This window comes from Homo sapiens, chromosome 17, assembly GCF_000001405.40.
Source record: "Homo sapiens chromosome 17, GRCh38.p14 Primary Assembly".
Classification (NCBI taxonomy): Eukaryota; Metazoa; Chordata; class Mammalia; order Primates; family Hominidae; genus Homo; species Homo sapiens.
Window position 1 is genome coordinate 78,167,264 of NC_000017.11, and position 20,095 is coordinate 78,187,358.

General features: G+C 55.8%; 2 protein-coding genes across 6 annotated transcripts, besides 14 other annotated features; one reads left to right on the plus strand and one right to left on the minus strand.

Annotated features, from left to right (window-relative positions):
- Positions 981 to 1,590: a silencer, noted in NCBI's record as "silent region_9050". NCBI's record gives its function as "represses an Ori minimal core promoter by ATAC-STARR-seq in GM12878 lymphoblastoid cells {active_cell/tissue: GM12878}" and the evidence as "EXISTENCE:reporter gene assay evidence [ECO:0000049][PMID:35858748]".
- On the plus strand, positions 1,282 to 5,701 carry SYNGR2 (synaptogyrin 2). Of its 3 annotated transcripts, NM_004710.7 has the most exons (4): positions 1,318 to 1,452; positions 3,554 to 3,791; positions 4,247 to 4,386; positions 4,476 to 5,457. In NM_004710.7, the coding sequence occupies exons 1-4, from the start codon at positions 1,354 to 1,356 to the stop codon at positions 4,671 to 4,673; spliced, it is 675 nt and encodes a 224-aa protein (NP_004701.1). In that variant the 5' UTR covers positions 1,318 to 1,353; the 3' UTR covers positions 4,674 to 5,457. The 3 variants fall into 3 exon arrangements, with proteins under 3 accessions (NP_001350707.1, NP_001307452.1, NP_004701.1); NM_001363778.1 differs by having other exon boundaries at positions 1,282 to 1,452; positions 4,247 to 5,701; NM_001320523.2 differs by lacking the exon at positions 4,247 to 4,386 and having other exon boundaries at positions 1,282 to 1,452; positions 4,476 to 5,701.
- Positions 1,621 to 1,780: a silencer, noted in NCBI's record as "silent region_9051". NCBI's record gives its function as "represses an Ori minimal core promoter by ATAC-STARR-seq in GM12878 lymphoblastoid cells {active_cell/tissue: GM12878}" and the evidence as "EXISTENCE:reporter gene assay evidence [ECO:0000049][PMID:35858748]".
- Positions 4,610 to 4,679: an enhancer, noted in NCBI's record as "active region_12871". NCBI's record gives its function as "activates an Ori minimal core promoter by ATAC-STARR-seq in GM12878 lymphoblastoid cells {active_cell/tissue: GM12878}" and the evidence as "EXISTENCE:reporter gene assay evidence [ECO:0000049][PMID:35858748]".
- Positions 5,500 to 5,769: an enhancer, noted in NCBI's record as "active region_12872". NCBI's record gives its function as "activates an Ori minimal core promoter by ATAC-STARR-seq in GM12878 lymphoblastoid cells {active_cell/tissue: GM12878}" and the evidence as "EXISTENCE:reporter gene assay evidence [ECO:0000049][PMID:35858748]".
- Positions 5,960 to 6,069: an enhancer, noted in NCBI's record as "active region_12873". NCBI's record gives its function as "activates an Ori minimal core promoter by ATAC-STARR-seq in GM12878 lymphoblastoid cells {active_cell/tissue: GM12878}" and the evidence as "EXISTENCE:reporter gene assay evidence [ECO:0000049][PMID:35858748]".
- Positions 6,630 to 6,759: an enhancer, noted in NCBI's record as "active region_12874". NCBI's record gives its function as "activates an Ori minimal core promoter by ATAC-STARR-seq in GM12878 lymphoblastoid cells {active_cell/tissue: GM12878}" and the evidence as "EXISTENCE:reporter gene assay evidence [ECO:0000049][PMID:35858748]".
- TK1 (thymidine kinase 1) lies at positions 6,816 to 19,941 on the minus strand. Of its 3 annotated transcripts, none has more exons than NM_001346663.2 (7): positions 19,666 to 19,789; positions 19,524 to 19,555; positions 17,792 to 17,902; positions 15,326 to 15,419; positions 8,266 to 8,355; positions 7,787 to 7,906; positions 6,828 to 7,525 (listed from the first exon to the last, which is right to left on the minus strand). In NM_001346663.2, the coding sequence occupies exons 1-7, from the start codon at positions 19,729 to 19,731 to the stop codon at positions 7,496 to 7,498; spliced, it is 543 nt and encodes a 180-aa protein (NP_001333592.1). In that variant the 5' UTR covers positions 19,732 to 19,789; the 3' UTR covers positions 6,828 to 7,495. The 3 variants fall into 3 exon arrangements, with proteins under 3 accessions (NP_001350777.1, NP_001333592.1, NP_003249.3); NM_003258.5 differs by having other exon boundaries at positions 6,828 to 7,687; NM_001363848.1 differs by having other exon boundaries at positions 6,816 to 7,906; positions 19,666 to 19,941.
- Positions 7,060 to 7,359: an enhancer, noted in NCBI's record as "active region_12875". NCBI's record gives its function as "activates an Ori minimal core promoter by ATAC-STARR-seq in GM12878 lymphoblastoid cells {active_cell/tissue: GM12878}" and the evidence as "EXISTENCE:reporter gene assay evidence [ECO:0000049][PMID:35858748]".
- Positions 8,170 to 8,349: an enhancer, noted in NCBI's record as "active region_12876". NCBI's record gives its function as "activates an Ori minimal core promoter by ATAC-STARR-seq in GM12878 lymphoblastoid cells {active_cell/tissue: GM12878}" and the evidence as "EXISTENCE:reporter gene assay evidence [ECO:0000049][PMID:35858748]".
- Positions 8,370 to 8,489: an enhancer, noted in NCBI's record as "active region_12877". NCBI's record gives its function as "activates an Ori minimal core promoter by ATAC-STARR-seq in GM12878 lymphoblastoid cells {active_cell/tissue: GM12878}" and the evidence as "EXISTENCE:reporter gene assay evidence [ECO:0000049][PMID:35858748]".
- Positions 8,499 to 9,277: an enhancer, noted in NCBI's record as "H3K27ac-H3K4me1 hESC enhancer chr17:76171843-76172621 (GRCh37/hg19 assembly coordinates)". NCBI's record gives its function as "activates a minimal SCP1, AML or CMV promoter by ChIP-STARR-seq in primed H9 embryonic stem cells {active_cell/tissue: H9 hESC(primed)}" and the evidence as "EXISTENCE:reporter gene assay evidence [ECO:0000049][PMID:30033119]".
- Positions 8,500 to 8,549: an enhancer, noted in NCBI's record as "active region_12878". NCBI's record gives its function as "activates an Ori minimal core promoter by ATAC-STARR-seq in GM12878 lymphoblastoid cells {active_cell/tissue: GM12878}" and the evidence as "EXISTENCE:reporter gene assay evidence [ECO:0000049][PMID:35858748]".
- Positions 9,278 to 10,055: an enhancer, noted in NCBI's record as "H3K4me1 hESC enhancer chr17:76172622-76173399 (GRCh37/hg19 assembly coordinates)". NCBI's record gives its function as "activates a minimal SCP1, AML or CMV promoter by ChIP-STARR-seq in primed H9 embryonic stem cells {active_cell/tissue: H9 hESC(primed)}" and the evidence as "EXISTENCE:reporter gene assay evidence [ECO:0000049][PMID:30033119]".
- Positions 17,002 to 17,903: an enhancer, noted in NCBI's record as "H3K4me1 hESC enhancer chr17:76180346-76181247 (GRCh37/hg19 assembly coordinates)". NCBI's record gives its function as "activates a minimal SCP1, AML or CMV promoter by ChIP-STARR-seq in naive H9 embryonic stem cells {active_cell/tissue: H9 hESC(naive)}" and the evidence as "EXISTENCE:reporter gene assay evidence [ECO:0000049][PMID:30033119]".
- Positions 19,942 to 20,081: a silencer, noted in NCBI's record as "silent region_9052". NCBI's record gives its function as "represses an Ori minimal core promoter by ATAC-STARR-seq in GM12878 lymphoblastoid cells {active_cell/tissue: GM12878}" and the evidence as "EXISTENCE:reporter gene assay evidence [ECO:0000049][PMID:35858748]".

Below are 20,095 nucleotides of genomic sequence, written 5' to 3' on the forward strand. Positions count from 1 at the left end.
CGTGATCTTGGTTCACTGCAAACTCCGCCTCCTGGGCTCAGACAATTCTCCCACCTCAGCCTCTGGAATAGCTGGGACTGCTAGTAGCTGCCACCACGCCTCGCTAACTTTCGTTTTTGGTTTTGTTTGTTTGTTTGTTTGTTTGTTTGTTTTGTTTGTTTTGAGATGGACTCTTGCTCTGTTGCCCAGGCTGGGGTGTAGTGGCTCGATCTCAGCACACGGCCACCTCTGCCTACCGGTTTCAAGCAATTATCCTGCCTCAGCCTCCCAAGTAGCTGGGATTACAGGCGCTTACCACAACGCCCAGCTAATTTTTTTGTTGTTGTTGTATTTTTAGTAGAGACGGGGTTTCACCATGTTGGCCAGGCTGGTCTCAAACTCCTGACCTCAGGTGATCCAACCGCCTCGGCCTCCCAAAGTGCTGGGATTACAGGTGTGAGCCACTGCGCCCGGCCTTGCACACCATCTTTTTTTTTTTTTTTTTTTTTTTTTTTGACACAGAGTTTTGCTCTTGTTGCCCAGGCTGGAGTGCAATGGCACAATCTCGGCTCACCGCAACCTCCACCTCCCAGGTTCAAGCGATTCTCCTGCCTCAGCCTCCCGAGTAGCTGGGATTACAGGCATGCACCACCACACCAGGCTAATTTTTGTATTTTTAGTAGAGACGGGGTTTCTCCATGTTGGTCAGGCTGGTCTCGAACTCCTGACCTCAGGTGATCCAACCGCCTCGGCCTCCCAAAGTGCTGGGATTACAGGTGTGAGCCACCGCTCCCGGCCTTGCACACCATCTTAAGTGTGACGCCACACTGCCCTTCACAGCCTTGGGGCTCTGCCCAGACCAGGAGGAATGGGGAGGGGGTCTTTGACCCTACCCCAGGCTTAGCCCCAGAGAGGAGGAAAGAGTGGCAGGCCAGGCAGGGAGGGGCTCCAGGGTGTGGCCTGGGTTTTTCAGTGGGATGGGGGAGGGGTTGCTTATGAGCCTGGGTGGGTTCTTGGTAGGTGGTGGGCTTCCTAGAGGAGGCGGTGGGAGGGCAGGGGCAAAGAGGGTGAGCGGTCCTCAGTTCGTCCGTCTTCCCGGGGGACTCTCTGACCCTTTCTGGTCCGTGCTGCGGCCGGCGTGGCCCGGAGACTAGCCCCTCAACCCCGAGGTGGGGTGGACCCGGGTGCTCCGCGGCCACAGCCCCTCCCCGCCTCTAGAAGCGCAGTCCCGCGGCTCGCCCGCCGCTCGCGAGGGCCGCACTTTGCCCTCGGTCCCTAGCGGCGCCTGGCCACGCCCCCGGCGGGTGGAGTCGGGCGGGGCGCCGGGCAGGTTCCTCTGCGTTCCGCGGCGGCGGCAGCGGCGGCGACGGCGACATGGAGAGCGGGGCCTACGGCGCGGCCAAGGCGGGCGGCTCCTTCGACCTGCGGCGCTTCCTGACGCAGCCGCAGGTGGTGGCGCGCGCCGTGTGCTTGGTGAGCCCGGGGAGGGCGGGCCGAGGGCACCCTGGGGACCCCCTCTCCGTCGCCAGGCCCGGCGGGGCCCCTAGCCCACGAGCGCGACAGGTGGCGGCGGCCGCGTCCGGGGCCTGGCGGCGAGCGGGGCCGGCGTCCAGCGTCCCGGGCCCCGCCTTCCCGCCCTCCACAGTCTGTCCCGCTGTCCCCTCCCGGTCCCGGGTCCCGCCACCCACCCCACCCCCAGCCTCGCGCCCCGACGCGGGGTGTCCGGATCTCCGCAGGGAGCGGGCCCCTGCCTCGCTGGCAGTGGGAGGAGTTTGGGGGCGGCTCCCGGACAGGTGGCCCGCACGCCGCGACTCCCAGATTGGGGAGTTCACCGGGACGGGGTTTTCCGAAGCCACGTGGGGTAAGGGAGGGGGCGGGGGGCGACCCAACGCCCGGAAACAGGGTGTCCTTCCCACTCGGGGCAGGCCACGGGTCCGCCTTCCCACCCGAAGTTGAGGGACCCCAAGATGTACCCCCTCCCTGTAAGGTGGGCAATACCTCCAAAACCAGGTTTTGTGTGTGTGTGTGTGTGGCGGGGAGGGGGCCTGTTCTTGGACAGCCAGCCCTGAAAGCTGGAGGGGGTGGCATGAGGGGGCAGGCAGAGGTGGGCCTGCTGTGCCCAGACCATGCCTGGGCCTGGAGCTTCTGAGGTCCTCCAGGGCGCCCACACCAGCTCCCAGCCAGGCTGTGGGATCTGATCGCCTCTGTCCTGGGCTGTGTCCAAGAATCAGGTGCCCAGTGGGTCGGGATGGCAGTGCCAGGAGTCCTGGATGGGCACCCTGCTCCCATCATCCCGGAGATCCGGCTTCATCTCCATCTGGGGGCGGGGCCTGTGACTGCCAGCTCCAGAGCCCTATGGAGAGCTCCCTGGGACAACAGGGCAGGACTGGCAGGGGAGAGTCCTGGGGCCATCCCAGAGGGATCCTGATGCTCACAGACCTGTCCCACACCTGCTGAGGTGGAGCAGGCGTGGGTGGTGGCCTTCAAGTTTAGGGAGGTGGTATGGGGCTCTTCCCAAGGGGCTGGAGCTCCCCTACATCCACCCTGGGTCCTCCAGGTGTCTGAGTTCAGAGCTGTATCCACAGGCCTGAGTTAGTCCCCTTGTAGTGCCCTGTGCATGCAGGGCCCTCTGTGGGGTGGGAGACAGACTGGGAGGGACCAGGATGCCACAGAGGCTGCAAGTCCTTGTGTGGAGACAGCTGGCCAGGCTGAACCAGGGAGGGTTCCAGGGGTTCCAGGAGGTGAAGACACAGGGGCGCCAGCATGGCCTTCCCAAGAGGGCCTGTCCACCTTCACCAAGGTGTTCAGGCAGAGGCTGGGTGCTGTAGAAGTGACTTGGGCTGAAGGTGACGGGGGATGGGTAGTCTTTGTGACTTGGCCTGTCTTGGTTAAACCTCTTTCAAGGTGAGGTTGGGCTGGGGATGGAAGGACTGCCCTTCATCCATCAGGTACCTAAGCAGAATGATTCCTGCAGCAGGCCGATGGGGCAGGAGCAGCCCCTGCCTAGGAGGTCCCTGCCCATTCCCCACCCCTCCCCGGTCCAGGATTCCCAGGGGCAGGCCCCCTGGTGCCTGCAGATTCTCATCCTGGGGTGCATCAGGAAGCACTTTGCTCATCAGCTCACCTCCACAAGTTTGGAGGGGCTAAGATGTCAGCCTCCAAAAGGGGACAGCAGGCTGGGCGAGGTGGCTCATGCCTGTAATCCCAGCACTTTGGGAGGCCGAGGAGGGTGGATCACCTGAGGTCAGGAGTTCCAGACCAGCCTGGCCAACATGGTGAAACCCTATCTCTACTAAAAATACGGGTGTGGTGGAGGGCACCTGTAATCCCAGCTACTAGGGAGGCTGAGGCAGAATTGCTTGAACCCAGGAGGCAGAGGATGCAGTGAGCCGAGATCGCACTATTGCACTCCAGCCTGGGCAACAAGAGCAAGACTCCATCTCAAACAACAACAAAAACCCAAAAGGGGACAGCAGTAGTGGGAGAGGCCAGCATCTGTACACCCCATCAGGGTCCCCGCTGTGTGTGCCCCTCAGGCGGCCACCAGCCCTACCAGGTCCTCCCCTCCCGGCAGGTCTTCGCCTTGATCGTGTTCTCCTGCATCTATGGTGAGGGCTACAGCAATGCCCACGAGTCTAAGCAGATGTACTGCGTGTTCAACCGCAACGAGGATGCCTGCCGCTATGGCAGTGCCATCGGGGTGCTGGCCTTCCTGGCCTCGGCCTTCTTCTTGGTGGTCGACGCGTATTTCCCCCAGATCAGCAACGCCACTGACCGCAAGTACCTGGTCATTGGTGACCTGCTCTTCTCAGGTATCTGCCTGTGGCACCTCCATTTGATCTTGGGGGAGGCATTAACTCTAGGGTTCCGCAGCTGGGAGGGTCTCGGCCTCTCTGGGAGGGGCAGGGAGCAGCTCACTCCTCCAGGGCATTTTTAGGAAAGGGTTTTCAGCTAGTGTTTTTCCGTGCTTGAATGGCACCAGCCCTGCCTGGGGTAGCTAGAAGCTGAGTGGACCTGCAGCACACCCGAGCAGATGGGCTTTGCCTCTGCCCCTTTTGTCCCCTAGGCTGTCTGCTGTGGCCCACCCTGCCAAGGCCCGAGTGTGGGGGACTTTGGAGGTGGCTCCCGGCCCGGCTTCCAAGTCCTCCCCTCCATAGTGTGGAGGCTCCCCCGGGAGGTCCCTGCCCTACCTGCCCGCGTCCCCTCCCAGAGTCCTGGAAAGCCCCTCCCTTTCCATGGAACTGACGCTTCACCCGTCCTCCCCCAGCTCTCTGGACCTTCCTGTGGTTTGTTGGTTTCTGCTTCCTCACCAACCAGTGGGCAGTCACCAACCCGAAGGACGTGCTGGTGGGGGCCGACTCTGTGAGGGCAGCCATCACCTTCAGCTTCTTTTCCATCTTCTCCTGGGTAGGATGGCCAGGGGCCGGTTCTTGGGTCAAGGGTGGTGGAGGGTGGGGTCCCCCACCCACCTGTACCCTGCTGTGCTCCCCCTGCAGGGTGTGCTGGCCTCCCTGGCCTACCAGCGCTACAAGGCTGGCGTGGACGACTTCATCCAGAATTACGTTGACCCCACTCCGGACCCCAACACTGCCTACGCCTCCTACCCAGGTGCATCTGTGGACAACTACCAACAGCCACCCTTCACCCAGAACGCGGAGACCACCGAGGGCTACCAGCCGCCCCCTGTGTACTGAGCGGCGGTTAGCGTGGGAAGGGGGACAGAGAGGGCCCTCCCCTCTGCCCTGGACTTTCCCATGAGCCTCCTGGAACTGCCAGCCCCTCTCTTTCACCTGTTCCATCCTGTGCAGCTGACACACAGCTAAGGAGCCTCATAGCCTGGCGGGGGCTGGCAGAGCCACACCCCAAGTGCCTGTGCCCAGAGGGCTTCAGTCAGCCGCTCACTCCTCCAGGGCACTTTTAGGAAAGGGTTTTTAGCTAGTGTTTTTCCTCGCTTTTAATGACCTCAGCCCCGCCTGCAGTGGCTAGAAGCCAGCAGGTGCCCATGTGCTACTGACAAGTGCCTCAGCTTCCCCCCGGCCCGGGTCAGGCCGTGGGAGCCGCTATTATCTGCGTTCTCTGCCAAAGACTCGTGGGGGCCATCACACCTGCCCTGTGCAGCGGAGCCGGACCAGGCTCTTGTGTCCTCACTCAGGTTTGCTTCCCCTGTGCCCACTGCTGTATGATCTGGGGGCCACCACCCTGTGCCGGTGGCCTCTGGGCTGCCTCCCGTGGTGTGAGGGCGGGGCTGGTGCTCATGGCACTTCCTCCTTGCTCCCACCCCTGGCAGCAGGGAAGGGCTTTGCCTGACAACACCCAGCTTTATGTAAATATTCTGCAGTTGTTACTTAGGAAGCCTGGGGAGGGCAGGGGTGCCCCATGGCTCCCAGACTCTGTCTGTGCCGAGTGTATTATAAAATCGTGGGGGAGATGCCCGGCCTGGGATGCTGTTTGGAGACGGAATAAATGTTTTCTCATTCAGTCTCCAGTCATTGGTTGAGCCACAGCCTAGGGGTTGGAGGAAGACTCCACTCTGGGTACACCCTTAGGGGCTGGCTTTATGGAACTTGTAGTTTGAACAAGGCAGTGGCAATCCGCCCCCTCCAGCCTGCCTGGCTGGCCCCCTTCCCTCTGTCTGGGGTCGCATTCCGCACAAGCCTTTCATCAACATCTTAAAATAGTAACTGTGCTCAGCTTGTAAACAAGATGATTTTTCTGGCCTGCAGTGCCAGGGTCCTGCTGCTCCCTTCCTAGAGTGGGGGTGGGGGTACCTGGGAGTTGTCGGTGAATGCCCCTTTCTTGCACTGAATAGGGGTACCATAGGTAAGACCAGGTTTCTACCTTCCTCCAGGGTCAGCACCTCTGGAGCCTTCCTGGGACACGGCCTTGGCCGTCCAGCCCACCCCTCGGAGATAAGGCCCATCTCTGGAAGAGGTCAAGGCCCTAAAGCAACTTCTGGCTTCTTCTTTTGAGCAATGACAGAGGGAGCTGTCATCGGCAAGTCCCGATTGTTTAAAAATCCCCAGTACGAACTAACAGGGCACTGCTCCCAGCCTCACCCGATGGCTTTGGCTTGGGACACATCACTAGCGAAGGGGAGAGGGAGGCTGGGGAGGCCCTGGGAGTGGTGACCCTGCCTGCACAGGACACACCTTACCCCAGCGATGCTTGCCCCCAAGTGAGCTGCCAACAGCCCATCTCTGAGGCACAGCTGAGAGATGTCTTGACTCCTGAATTACCAAGAGTTTGTTTCACAAACAAAACCTGACCTCACAGGCCCAGCGGGCAGGACAGTGCCTCTTCCTTCCAACTGGGCCCCGGGCTCCTCTGTACACCCATTTTTGTCCTGACACTGGCCCAGACAGGAAGGCAGATGATGTTCTGCTTAGGACACACCCCATGATCATTTCTCAGTTCAAGGGTTGTGGTTAAGAGATCAGTATTACTACAGAAAGATCTGGGGGCCAGGTGCAGTGCCTCACGCCTGTAATCCCAGCACTTTGGGAGGCCGAGGCAGGTGGATCACTTGAGGCCAGGAGTTCGAGACCAGCCTGGCCAACATGGTGAAAACTCGTCTCTACTAAAAATACAAAAATTAGCCAGGTGTGGTGGTACACGCCTGTAATATCGGCTACTTGGGAGGCTGACGGGGGAGAATCACTTCAACTGGGGAAGCAGAGGCTGCAGTGAGCAGGGATTGCGTCACTGCACTCCAGCCTGGGCGACAGAGACCCTGTCTCAAAACAAAAGAAAAAAAGATCTGGAAGAAAATCCCCACCCAAATCAAGTTGGAGCTGTCCATGAGACCCAGGGAAACCCAGGTGAAAGAGAAATGTGCGTCCACCAACCAGTGAATTTTCAATTAGTTAATTTCATAAGCTACAGCAGAGGCGTGGACCCTGCCCTCTCCACACTTGAAGAGATAAGCCCCTGGGATCCAAGTCCCAGCAAGGTTGGTGCCACCCATCTTGGTGAAAGATGCTGTTGTTCCTGTGGAAACCATCACCAGAGGTAGGAAGGGCTTTGAGCCCAAAAGGAAACAAGAGGGCGTGAATCCAGGCCATCCTCAGGGGAGGGTGGGAGCCCATCCCAGGCAGAGAGGCCTAAGCCTCAGTGTGGGCCAAGGCTCAAAGGTGCTGGCACAGGCTTCCCAGGGAGAACAGAAACTCAGCAGTGAAAGCCGCAGAGGGGAAGAAGCAGGCTGATGTCAACAGCGTGGGGCTCTGTCCCTCACCCCAAGGAGAGGGAGTGTGCCAGATCCCAGGCCACCAAGCGGGGCCAGCTCCAGCCTGGGCGATCGTCCCAGCAGCTGAGAGGGAAGCTTTAAGCAGACCAGTGGGTAGGAGAGGAGGGAGCATGCGGCAGGTGGGGCAGCCACACAAAGGAGAGTTCCCAGAAGGCCAAGGTGTGGTCACCCTCCACGCCTCCCGACTTCCTCCTGGAGTGGCTGGGCAGCATGCAGGGCAGCGTCCAGTAGGCGGCAGTGGCAGGAAGGGAGCGGGCGGCCCTCGCAGGTCCCTCAGTTGGCAGGGCTGCATTGCAGAATCTGCTGTGGGGCAAAGAGCTTCCTGGCAGCCACGGCTTCCCCTGGCTTTCCTGGCACTGGGCAGTTCTCTTTGTTGTCCGGCCCGGCAGGCTGGCCTGAGGCCTTCTTGAAGTAGCAGAGCCGACACACGGAGTGGTACTTGTCTGCTCCCCCAATCACCTCGACCTGGCCGCAGGGACAGGGGATGGGTGAAGGGCCAGGACAGGAAGGAGGCAGAGCCATACCCCCACCCCGCCGGCCTGCAGGGAAGGCAGGTGGAGCTACCTCCTTCTCTGTGCCGAGCCTCTTGGTATAGGCGGCTTCCCGGAAGCACTCCATGCACACCGCCGTCAGCTTCACCACGCTCTCGGCCAGCGGCACCAGGTTCAGGATGGCCCCAAATGGCTGCGCTCCCATGGAAAGACAGAGGGCGCTCAGCCACCTTACCAGGTGGGTTTTTCTTTTAAACCCTCTGATTCACAAGCACTGAAGCCAGGAGAGTTTGCTCTGACCTTAGTCCTTCCCCCAACCCCCAGAGCACCATGCCCGGCTCTGTCCCTTTGCCAATTCAAAGCACCTGCCGCAACAGATGGCACGCAGTCTGCACAGACCATGGAGTCCCTTGGCTCAGCCAAGGCCTGAGCAGCTCGGCCGTAACCCTGTGGTGGCTGAGCCCTGGTCACCCAGAGCTGGTGTCTCTGTGCCCATCCAGAAGCCTCTTGCCCTCCTCAATCCCAGCTCCAGACCTGGATCAGACGCCTTACCTTCCTCTGGAAGGTCCCATCCAGTGCAGCCACAATTACGGTCTTCCCGGCGTTGGCCATGGCCTCGCAGAACTCCACGATGTCAGGGAACTGGAAAGGGCACGTGGAGAAAGAGTGTGAGAGCTTCCACCCCAGCAGCAGCTCCCTGGAGCCCCAGCGAAGACGCTGCCAGATCTGACAACTCCGGCCATTTGGCCCGGAGTAACTCTTAATTCTCCCACGAGGCTCCCCAGGCCGGGGGACTGTGTCCACCCGCACGCCCCCCAGCAGACGACAGGTACATCCACAACTGCGCAGCCCCTTCCCCCTGCAGCCAGCTTCCCTCCGAGTCCAGGTACCCAGGACTCAGCACCGGACTTCCACACCAGCTGTGCTGTTTAACACTGCAGTGGCCAAAGGCCTGCTGCCTTGGGCTCGGACACCACTCTTCGCTGGACCCATTATCTGTGTGACCTTGGCAATGAATTAACGTCTCTGAACCTGTTTCCTTTTCCTTAAGAGCAAGGAAGGTCCTGTTGTTTAAGGATGGAAGGCCCTAAGTTATATACATGCTCTTCGGTGAATAGGTGGGCGCTTTGTGCTCTTGCCTCCCCCGTTTTAAACGGGTAATGTGCCTTGAGAAGGGGCGGGGGTCCTACTGGCCATTTACAGAGCAGGATGACACAGCACAGCCTTCTAAATTCAGGACCTGCACAGAGCACATTTACTGTGTAAAGCAAACTTCACTTTGGCCCAGGGAGAAGCTGAAACTCTGGCAAGTGCTCTGGTGATTCTCATCAATCAATCATATCACTCTTAGCTGGTTGAGTTCATATGTCCAGACTGGCCTTTGGGTTGGGTGAAGCAGGGATGTCCTTGTCCTTGGGTGCAGGGTCTCTCTCCCAGGGCCACTCAGGCTTTCTCAGCCCAGGTACTGAGGTTTGAGGTTATTGAGACGTGAGGGCTTAGCAAGGTGAGGACTAAGGGGTGGCTCGAAAAATTCCAGTGAGATCCAAGCAAAGCCCAACGTGACTGATTGCGCTCAGCTGACTGCAGGGGTCTCTGGAGAAGGAAACCCAGAGACTCCAGCACGCCAGGGCCCCTCCCCACCATGCACTCGTTCCCTCTTTTTCTCTGAGGACTCATGACATGTCACGAAAATGCAGCTCCCAGCCTGCAAGGAGCTGTGGGCCGGCACACCACCTGCGCCAGGGGCGCGCCCCCTGGAGGGCTGACGCTGCCATGGCTGCCATTTGAGGCCGGATCTCGCTGTGTCCTGTGCAGTGTAGGGTGTTGGGCTGCGTCCCTCGCCCCCACCCATTAGATAGATGCCAGGAACACACCTCCCACCCCCCAGCTGCGACAAAATTGTTTCTAGTTGTTGTGAGATGTCCCCTGGGTGGGAATGGAGAGGGGAAGAACCCTCCTGAGTTGAGAACCTTGCTCCTTCACCCGCCACATGAGGGTAGAAGGCAGACCCCAGACTCTCCTGCATCAGGGTTTCAGGATGAAGGTCCTCAGCCCCCACTCACTCCACCTCTTGACCAACCTCAGGCTGAGGTCCATAGTCAAAGAGCTTGGTTCTTGCACCCGGCACTTCCCCACCCGTCCAGCACTTCCAGTGATCTGCCTGCCTCAGCCTCCCAAAGTGCTGGGATCACAGACGTGAGCCTCTGTGCCAGACCCTAACTTTTCCTAGATTAAACTTATTATAGATTGCATGTCTCTAACCTGAAAGGCTCCAAAATCTGAAACTTTTTGAGCGCCCACCACAAGTGGAAAATTCCACACCTGACCTCATGGGACAGGTCACAGTCAAAAACTGTGGCTCACGTCCAAATTACTAAATACATAAAATTACTCTCAGGCTATGTGCCTAAGATGTCTATAAAACATAAATGGATTTTGTGTTTACACTTGGGGCTCATTCCCAAGGTCTCATTATATTATGAACATGCAAATATTCGAAAACCTGAAATCCGAAACACTTCTGGTCCCAGGCATTTAGGTTAAGGAATACTCAACCTGTATTACTTGTGTAGTAGAACAGAAAACACAAAAAGGTCTATTTTTTTTTTTTTTTTGAGACGGAGTCTCGCTCTGTCGCCCAGGCTGGAGTGCAGTGGCGTGATCTCAGCTCACTGCAAGCTCCGCCTCCTGGGTTCACGCCACTCTCCTGCCTCAGCCTCCCGAGTAGCTGAGACTACAGGTGCCCGCCACCACGCCTGGCTAATTTTTTTGTATTTTCAGTAGAGACGGGGTTTCACCGTGTTAGCCAGGATGGTCTCGATCTCCTGACCTCGTGATTCACCCACCTCGGCCTCCCAAAGTGTTGGGATTACAGGCATGAGCCACTGCGCCTGGCTTTGTCTATTTTTTTTGAGACAGAGTCTCGCTCTGTCATCCAGGCTGGAGTGCAGTGGCATAATCTTGGCTCACTGCAACCTCTGCCTCCCAGGTTCAAGCAATTCTTGTGCCTCTGCCTCCCAAGTAGCTGGAATTACAGGTGTGTGCCACCACGCTTGGCTAATTTTTGTATTTTTAGTAGAGATGGGGTTTCACCATGTTGGCCTGGCTGGTCTCAAACTCCTGACCTCAAGTGATCCGCCCGCCTAGGCCTTCCAAAGTGCTGGGATTACAGGTGTGAGCCACCGTGCCCAGCCAGAAAAAAAGTTTAAAAAAATAAATCAGAGCTCCTACTATTGCCAAGCGACCCTGCAAGCCCACCACACACTGTGCAGCTGTTGATGCAAGGGTGCCCACCCACCACCAGCATCTGAAGCACAGCACCCCCAGCTAGGAGCTTCAGGTTTTCCAGAGATTTCCAGGTGAGTCTCTCTTGGATGCCAACAGTTTCTACAGAGCAGTGTGAGCACCTGTGTGTCTCGCCCGGGGTACAAAGAAGCACAGAAGCTTCTGACCCAGGGCCTTCCTCAGGATGGCACGGTGGCTACTCTGTGAAAGGCTTTCCCTGCTGACCCAGAAAACGGGAACAAGGCAGGTTCGGCTGGGCTTCATCCACTGTCCACGTAGACAATGAAGGAGCGAAGGACAGTCCTTCTGCTGGGTCCCATGCTAGGAACCCCTCTCCTCGATCTAGAACTGCTTGCAATGGGAAGACCCTGAACTTCTTTTGTTTTGTTTTGTTTTGAGACTGAGTTTTGCTCTTGTTGTTGCCCAGGCTTGGAGTGCAATGGGGCGATCTTGGCTCACTGCAACCTTCGCCTACCGGGTTCAAGCGATTCTCCTGCCTCAGCCTCCCAAGTAGCTGGGATTACAGGCATGCGCCACCACGCCTGGCTAATTTTTGTATTTTTAGTAGAGACGGAGTTTCTCCATGTTGGTCAGGCTGGTGACCCGGAACTTCTTGAAGAGAACAAGGGCACACAGAGGCCAGGGCAGAATGCTGATGTCTGGGTAGGGTGTAATAAATACTCACTGAATGAACTCAAGTTTTACTTGCTGGCCAGGGAGGAAGTAGACCGAGAAATCCCTCCTATAGGCTGAACAGGGGACAGGACTTCATACGCTGGCTCCTGACTCAGGGCATTTGGATGTCGAGGAAGGAGAAGGGAAAGGTTTCTGCCTCGGGGGTCTGGGTCAGCCTCTGTCAACAAGGTTTACGCAGAGCCAGGAGAACAGAGCTATTGAACAACTCACAGCGGCAGGTCTGAAGGAGGGAGAGCCTTGCCAAAGCTGAAGCTTCCTTGTTCTGAGAGGGCCATGTCCCCAAAGCTGATGCAAAATCCCTGGATGCATTCTGAGGCCACAGTTTGGGAGCAAAAGAGAACAGCTGCAGCCCTATTCCCAGCCTGGGCTCACTTTCTCGCCAGGAGTCCCTCAAGCACGGGGCAGCAACAACGACGTCTCCACGTACGCAGAGGCATGGGGGTGCTCAGGGGCGCACCTCTGAAGGTCAGAAACGGAATGGCCATACCCAAGCGGGGAGGAGATGCCAGCTGCCGGGTGGTCGGGAACCCAGAGCGGACACTGGCAGCCTCAACTCCACAGGGCAGATGCCCCGCACAGGGGAAGGGACCCGTCAGCCTCCCCACGGGAATGGAATTTGCAGCTGTGACTCATACAGAATGTTGGGCAAGAACAGAACCAGGAAGGCAGGACTGGCCTTTTGAGGGGACAGGCCCTGTGACGTCCGGGCAGGGTATTCAGGCCAGAGCGGCCTGGCTCTGTGCTGGGAGGCAGGGCGGGTAGAGACCTCGAAGCACTCACCAAACCAACTCATTTATTCTTCCTCCAGGGTATAGAACTAGACTAAGTGTGGCCAGGCGTGGTGGCTCACGCCTGTAATCCCAGCACTTTGGGAGGCTGAGGCAGGCAGATCACCTGAGGTTAGGAGTTCCAGACCAGCCCGGTCAACATGATGAAACCCCGTCTCTACTAAAAATACAAAAGGTTAGCTGGGCATGGTGGCAGAAGCCTGTAATCCCAGCTACTCAGGAGGCTGAGGCGGGAGAATCACTTGAACCTGGGAGATGGAGGTTATAGTGAGCCGAGACTGCGCCACTGCACTCCAGCCTGGGCCACAGAGCAAGACTGTTTTTAAAAACAAACAAAAAACGAACTGGACTAAGTATACTAAACGTATAGGTGGCCCTGTGCCCAGGTTCTAGTCTTTGAAAGATCAGCAGAAGTGACGTTTGCAGCTTCTGGTCAGGCCCATGAAAACCTCACACCCAGGGGCTCCGCCACGTCTCTTCCCCTCCGTGTCTGTATACAGCCAGCCAGGGCGACCTAAGCCGCCTCGTGGGCGGCCTCCCCATCAACCGGCCTGGAACCACGTAGGGGGTCTGTGAGCGAGAAATAAATTCCTGTTATGTTTATATCAAACCACCACATTGTGTACTTCGAGGCAACCCTAAAAGTACCTAAGAGGTCAAGTCTGCTAAACCCCTTGGAGAGAGTTTCAGTTTCATTCTTTGTGATAAACTAACAAAAATAAAATCTCCAAAGCAGAGGAAAGAAAACTAAGATAACAGAAAATAACCCAGAAACTCAACCACAGAATATGTTCCTGAGGAAATAGAAAAATCTGGAAAAGTCTAAGAAAAGATTTTCAGGAACATAATGGAAGGAACAGCATAAATTTAAAAATAACCCAACAGTAACTTGTCAAACAAAACGGAGCATGATGAATTAGAGCAGCAGATGTAAAAATAGTCACTGAAACAAAACACACTCTGGAAGATGGAACCCAGAACACCTCAGAGATGGATGAGGAGAGAAATACCTGAAGTGATAATGGCTTCATTCCTTCCCCAGAAATGAAAAGGCACACCAGCTATAAAGCAGGATAAATGAAACAAAGCTTCCCCTACACACATTGTGCTGAGAGAGAACAGATAGAATACCTGACCAGAGGTAACATTAGAGAGATGGCGGCCTTCCTCTGAGCAAAAACACAATGACCAGCGCTGCTACTTTTCAAAGCAACAAGATCAAGACCAGGCGTGGTGGCTCACGCCTGTAATCCCAGCACTTTGGGAGCTGAGGCATGCGGATCACCTGAGGTCAGGAGTTCCAGACCAGCTGGCCAACATGGTGAAACCCCATCTCTATTAAAAATACATAAATGAGCTACGCATGGTGGCACGCACCTGTGATCCCAGCTACCCGGAAGGATGAGGCAGAACTGCTTGAACCCAAAAGGCGGAGGTTGCTGTGAGCTAAGATCACGTCACTCCACTCCAGCCAGGGCAACAGAGCAAGACTCCATCTCAAAAAAAATAAAAATTAAAAAGGCCGGGCACGGCGGCTCATGCCTGTAATTCCAACACTTTGGGAAGCCAAGGCGGGTGGATCACCTGAGGTCAGGAGTTCAAGACCAGCCTAGCCAACATGGTGAACCCTTGTCTCTACAAAAATTAGCCAGGCATGATGGTGGGTGCCTGTAATCCCACCTACTTGGGAGGCGAGGTGGGAAAATCGCTTGAATCCGGGTGGCAGAGGTTGCAGTGAGCCGAGATCACGCCATTGCACTCCAGCCTGGGCGACAGAGTAAGACTCCGTCTCAAAAAAAAAAAAAAAACCCAAACCCACACAAGATCAACCTACCTCTTGCTGCCCAGCTTAAACTAGATGACAAAAGAAAGATTTCCATACAAAGACTGGCAGCTTCCCATCTATACCTCCTGGCTGCAAAAACTACTAAAAAAGGTACTTCAACAACAAGAAAATAAACGTATAAGAAACAAGCAAAAGGAACCATGAGGCAAACCAAACATTACTCCCCACCTCCCCCTTTTTTTTTTGAGACAGGGTCTGGCCTTGTCGCCCGGGCTGGAGTGCAGTGGTGCTATCACCACTCACTGCAGCCTCGACCTCCCAGGCTCCATCCTTCTGCCTCAGCCTCCTGAGTAGCAGGGACCACAGGTGTGCGCTGCTATGACTGGCTAATTTCTTTTTTTTTTTGGTAGAGATGGGGTTTTACTATGTTGCCCAGGTGAGTCTCCAACTCCTGGGCTCAAGTGATCTGTCCACCTTGGCCTCCCACAGGCTGAGATTACAGGTGTGAGTCACTGCATCTTGCCAGTAAATAGATATATGTATTTTTAAAAAGGTACAATGGCCAGGTGTGGTAGCTCATGCCTGTAATCCCAGCGCTTTGGGAGTTCAAGGCGGGGCGGATCACCTGAGGTTGGGAGTTTGAGACCAGCTTGACCAACATGGAGAAACCCCATCTCTACTAAAAATATAAAATTAGCTGGGCGTGGTGGCGCATGCCTGTAATCCCAGCTACTCGGGAGGCTGAGACAGGAGAGAATTGCTTGAACCCAGGAAGCAAAGTTTGCGGTGAGATTGTGCCATCGTACTCCGGCCTGGGCAACAAGAGCAAAACTCCGTCTCAAAAAAAAAAAAAAAAAAGTAAAACGAATCCTACAAGACTATGACACTATGACAGGGAAACTAGAAAGGGGCCTTCAGAGGGTATTCCAACACTAGTTGTAGCTATTTAACCTTGTTATTTTACTAAAAGATCAGATAACTTCCAAGTCAGCGAGGGAAAACGGGAGGACAGAGCGGAAGCTGGCAGGAAGAGTGATGCCAAGACAAGCCAACTTACAAACTGCCCCTCGTCGATGCCTATGACAGCCACGCCCAGGGCCTCCTGGGCCACGTCTCGGAGCAGGCAGGCGGGCAGTGCCTCCATGGTGTTCCTGGGAAGAGAAAGCCAGAGCGTGAGCAGGGCCAGGGAGGCCAGAAGCCACAATGCAGGGGCCAGGGAATGGCACTGTCGTGACCACCTGCTACCTGCAAAGCAGGCTCAGTGTTCACCCAGCCGGGCTTTGAGAAGTTAGCACCTATGGGAAAGGCCCTCGTCCAGAAAACCAGTTATTTATTTATTTTTTATGAAACAGAGTCTTGCTCTGTCACCCAGGCTGGAGTGCAGTGGCGCCATCTCGGCTCCCTGCAATCTCTACCTCCCAATTCTCAAGGGTCTCAAGCGATTCTCCCACCTCAGCCACAAGAGTAGCTGGGACTACTGGCACACACCATCACACCCAGCTAATTTTTGTATTTTTAGCAGACATGGGGTTTCACCATGTTGGCCAGGCTGGTCTCAGACTCCTAACTTTTAAGTGATCCACCCGCCTTAGCCTCCCAGAGGAAAACCAGTTATTTATACAAGCCACTTCACTTGATGCTTTGGATTAGAAATTAGTAATGTCCAGTACAAAGCTCAATGAGACTAAAAACTCTTCCACTGTTCAGGAGCTGGGGGCAGACTAGGCCAACTTCATCAGGTACCAGGGCCCATGATACCATTAGGGGCCAGCCAAATGTTTCCTTTTAAAATTCAGAAGAATGAATAACTAGAACTGGGCCTGGGTTATATTTGTCTTTATATTAATTATGTTGCAAAACATAAATTTTTAAAATCCTGTATTCTGGCCAGACACAGCAGCTCATGCCCGTAATCTTTGGGGAGGCCAAGACGGGAGGATCACTTGAACTCAGGAGTTCGAGACCAGCCTGGGTAACACAGCGAGACACTGTGTGAAAAAAATGTAAAAATTAACTGGGTGTGGTGGTGTGCGCCTGTAGTCCCACCTGCTCAGGGGGCTGAGGTGGGACGATCACTTGAGCCCAAGGGTTTGGGGTCACGTAACAGTAAGCTATGATTGAGCCACTGCACTCCAGCCTGGGTGACAGAGAGAGACCCTGTCCCAAAAACAAACAACAAACAAACAAAAAAACATACTTTACAACTATTGTTTCGTTATTACCTTGCTATAATCCTACTTCGAGTTCTGGAAAGAATGTGTGAAACAGTATTTTGGGCATTTTAAATTCCCTCTTCCCTCCCTAAACAGAGAAAGACAAAGTGAGGGCAGGTGGGAGGCCAGCTGTGGCCCCTGCAAGGGCAGCCTCTCGAGCCATCAATGCTGCTGGCCCAGCCTTGGCCTCTGTGGCCCGTGTTAGAGATGACTTGTGACACACGGGCAGAACTCATATTTAATCCCGGATCTGACTGACTCCAGAAGTTGTACTTCCAACAGCTGGAACGAAGTGACCTCCTCTGCTTTCCCTGTCCCCACCAGGTGTAACACCACCCTGTGCCGTGGACATCGCATCTTAGGAATGAGGAAGCAAATTTGGAAAAGTAAATGACCTACATCAGACAGCATGGTCACGAAGTGCGGTTAAATTCCCACATGCAACTCCAAGCCCCAAGCACCCTCCACTCCACCAGCATCTGGCTTCAGGAGCCCCTCAGCTCCCACCGAAGGCCACACGCCGGGTGGATCTGTTCTCTGCACAGCCATAGCAACTCTCGGATACAGCTCCCAGCCAGGGCTCTGAGGCTGAAGCCCTATAATGTGTGGCACAGCATGGCTTTGCCACTGGGTGCCCAGGTGGACAAGTCCAGAGGACCAAGCAAAGCGTCTCAGGCTCAGAAACATCAGGCCCACATCTGCTGCCAAGGAAGTGAATTTAACTCCCAAACTGAGGTTGCAGGCGGAAATGTCCAGCGAGCTCAAACAGCTACACATAAAACAGGGAAGCGTGAAGGCTGCCAGGTGACGGGGGAGCCAGCCAACAACGGACAACTAAAAAATTAAACAAAAATCAACGTGCAGGCCAAACCAAACCAGTCTGCAGCCTGTGTGAAGCTGAAACCCTACGGCAGAGTTTCTGAACACTGGCAGGCTCCTGACATTTGGGGCCAGCTCGTTCTTGCATGGGGGCCGTCCTCTGCACCATAGGACCCTTAGCAGCAGTGTCCCTGATTTCTACACATTAAAGCCCAAAAGCATCCCCTCCCCCCTCCAGTTGCAACAACTAGAAATGTCTTCAAACATTGTCAAATGGACCCTGGCGGCAAAATCACCCTCAGTGGAGAACCACTGGCTCCAGCCCAGGGAGTGGAGAGTGTGCGCTACCTTGCCAAGCACCTTGGAAAGTGTGCTGATTTGAATCATTCAATGTTCAAATGATTAACCATCCCCATTAAAGAGAGTCCTAACAGTGTGTCCTGTGCCTTGTGATTTTCCACTGGACAGGACTGCAGGGGGCAGGGACTGACCGGTCATGTGTGCAGAAGCTGCTGCTGTAGCGAGTGTCTTTGGCATACTTGATCACCAGGCACTTGTACTGAGCAATCTGGAAGCGACGGACGCGTCTCATCAACTCTGTGCTGCAAGAGGAGAGAGGGTCAGGTGAGGTCCACGGCGGGAGGAGTGGGAGAAGGAGACCCCTCCCCAACAAGCCTGGCTCCTCATTGTCCCTAGTGGTATGCAGACTGAGCCCACCACAGCCAGAAAAGAGCAGGGCAGAGCAGGCAGGGTATAATATCCCTACAAAGAGGGTTGGAAGTCAGAATTCTCTATGGGGAAGAGGTCCAGGAATGGTACTCAGGTGGTCCCAGGAAGTGTGGGAGGAGTAACCTTCTCCAAGATGTAGTGGGGAAGGCAGAAGCAAAGGCTACATGTAGAGGGAACCTGCGACTGCATTCCAAAGTAACCTCATCCCAGAGTTGTTCCCAGAGTTCAGAGTTTTTCTTTCTTTCTTTTTGGGGTGGAGTCTCGCTCTGTTGCCTAGGTTAGAGTGCAGTGGAGCGATCTCAGCTCACTGCAACCCCTGCCTTCCGGGTTCAAGAGATTCTCCTGCCTCAACCTCCCGAGTAGCTGGGATTACAGGAGGCTGCCACCATGCCCAGATAATTTTTGGTTTTTTTTTTCAGTAGAGATGGGGTTTTACCACGTTGACCAGGGTGGTCTCAAACTCCTAACCTCAAGTGATCAACGCACCTCAGCCTTCCAAAGCGCTGGGATTAAAGGCGTGGGCCACCACACCTGGCATACAGCTTTTCTAAATTAATTTCAGAAAGTCTTTGTGTGCAGCGTCAAAAGCACTTGCTTCTGGGTCCAAGAAGTCCAACTCTGAGCCACATCTTCCTGAGCAAGGGGTTTGAGCTGAAGTGATCCCCAGGGCCATAAAAGAATGTTGGGGCAGGGCATGGTGGCTAACATCTGTAATCCCAGCACTTTGGGATGCTGAAGTAGGAGGATTGCTTGAGACCAGGAGTTCAAGACCAGCTTGGGCAACATAGCAAGACCCCAGCTCTATAAAAATAAAATAAAATTAGCTGGGTGGAGGCGGGGGGGTGCACGCCTGTAGTCCCAGCTACTTGGGAGGCTGAGGTGAGAGAATTGCTTGAGCCCAGGAGTTTGAGACCAGCCTGGGCAACATAGCAAGATCCTACCTCTAGAAGAACAAAAACAAAACAAAAAGAATGGTGCGTGGGTAGTTTACTCAAGAAACTCACTAGCCCCACCCGGGTCAGGGAATGGTTCTATCACCTCAGGAGAGCAGAGGCTCCACGGCTTCAGACTCCTTGGTTTAGAAAGCGACTACGTTTCCTTGGCCTTAGAAGGAAACAGCCACATTGAATAGGGGTGTACAAAAAGGCCTGGCCTACAGGGGACACAACTGGTTGCCACCTTCTCAGAGGACTTGGTGGGGAAGACAGCTAAGCTGTAAGCAGCTGTCACCAGCTCCAGGAGGGAGTGGCGTCCACACAGGACGAGGGGCTTGGCCTGGGCAGAAGAGGGCAGAGACTTCCTCCTGGACTGAATTCAAGGGAGGAGCACCCCAGGCGGGAGCTGTAGGAGGCTGTGCTGGTCCTTCTAGGGGAAGGGAAGGGGAGGGAAGGGAAGGGGAGGGGAGGGGAGGGGAGGGAAGGGGAGGGGAGGGACGGGACAAGGGGTCCCCGGAGAAGAGGAAGGAGCTCCACCCCAGCCCCGCGAAGCCATTACCTTTTTCCTGAGAACATCGGCCCGAGAATCACCTAGGAGAGAAGGTGAGGTCATTTGAGGGCCCGCCCTGCGCGGATGCCTGGACACAGGCTATCACCACGACCACCTCATCCCCAGCCACGCGCAGGGCTGGCCCCCGCACCTGGATCTGCCCCCGGGTCTTGCTGGGGGAGCCAGGCAGCACAGTGGGCAGGTTAATGCAGCTCATTGCGCCTCCGGGAAGTTCACGAACCCGAGTACTCTCCAAGGCCGTCCCGCAGTAAGCCCCTGGTTCCCGCGCCGACCGCTTTAAACCACGGCGTGCTGGCCAATCACGAGCCGGCCCCGCCGCCATGGGGCCAATCAGCGCCCGGCCGCTGACCTGGCGGGAGATTTGGCCGCAGCCCGCCCCCTCGTGGGAGGAATCCGGGACGTGCGCCCAGGGACTGGGAGGGCCTGGAAATCAGGGCGATGGACGTGGCTGATCGGGGTGGGGCCTGGTCTGAGCCCCGCCTCGGTCCGCCCACCAAGTTTAAAGGGGCGGAGCGAGGCGGGGCTCTGGCCATATAAACAGAGGGACGCACGCCCATGCG

Excerpts from the sequence above, each read along its gene's own strand:
- SYNGR2 (NM_001363778.1), top strand. The coding sequence starts at position 1,354 with ATGGAGAGCGGGGCCTACGGCGCGGCCAAGGCGGGCGGCTCCTTCGAC. Across the intron at positions 1,453-3,553 it reads TGGCGCGCGCCGTGTGCTTG|GTCTTCGCCTTGATCGTGTT; the intron begins GTGAGCCCGGGG and ends CCCTCCCGGCAG. Across the intron at positions 3,792-4,246 it reads TGGTGACCTGCTCTTCTCAG|CTCTCTGGACCTTCCTGTGG; the intron begins GTATCTGCCTGT and ends GTCCTCCCCCAG.
- TK1 (NM_001363848.1), bottom strand. The coding sequence starts at position 19,731 with ATGAGCTGCATTAACCTGCCCACTGTGCTGCCTGGCTCCCCCAGCAAG. Across the intron at positions 19,556-19,665 it reads AGACCCGGGGGCAGATCCAG|GTGATTCTCGGGCCGATGTT; the intron begins GTGCGGGGGCCA and ends CTTCTCTCCTAG. Across the intron at positions 7,907-8,265 it reads ATGGGACCTTCCAGAGGAAG|CCATTTGGGGCCATCCTGAA; the intron begins GTAAGGCGTCTG and ends ATGGGAGCGCAG.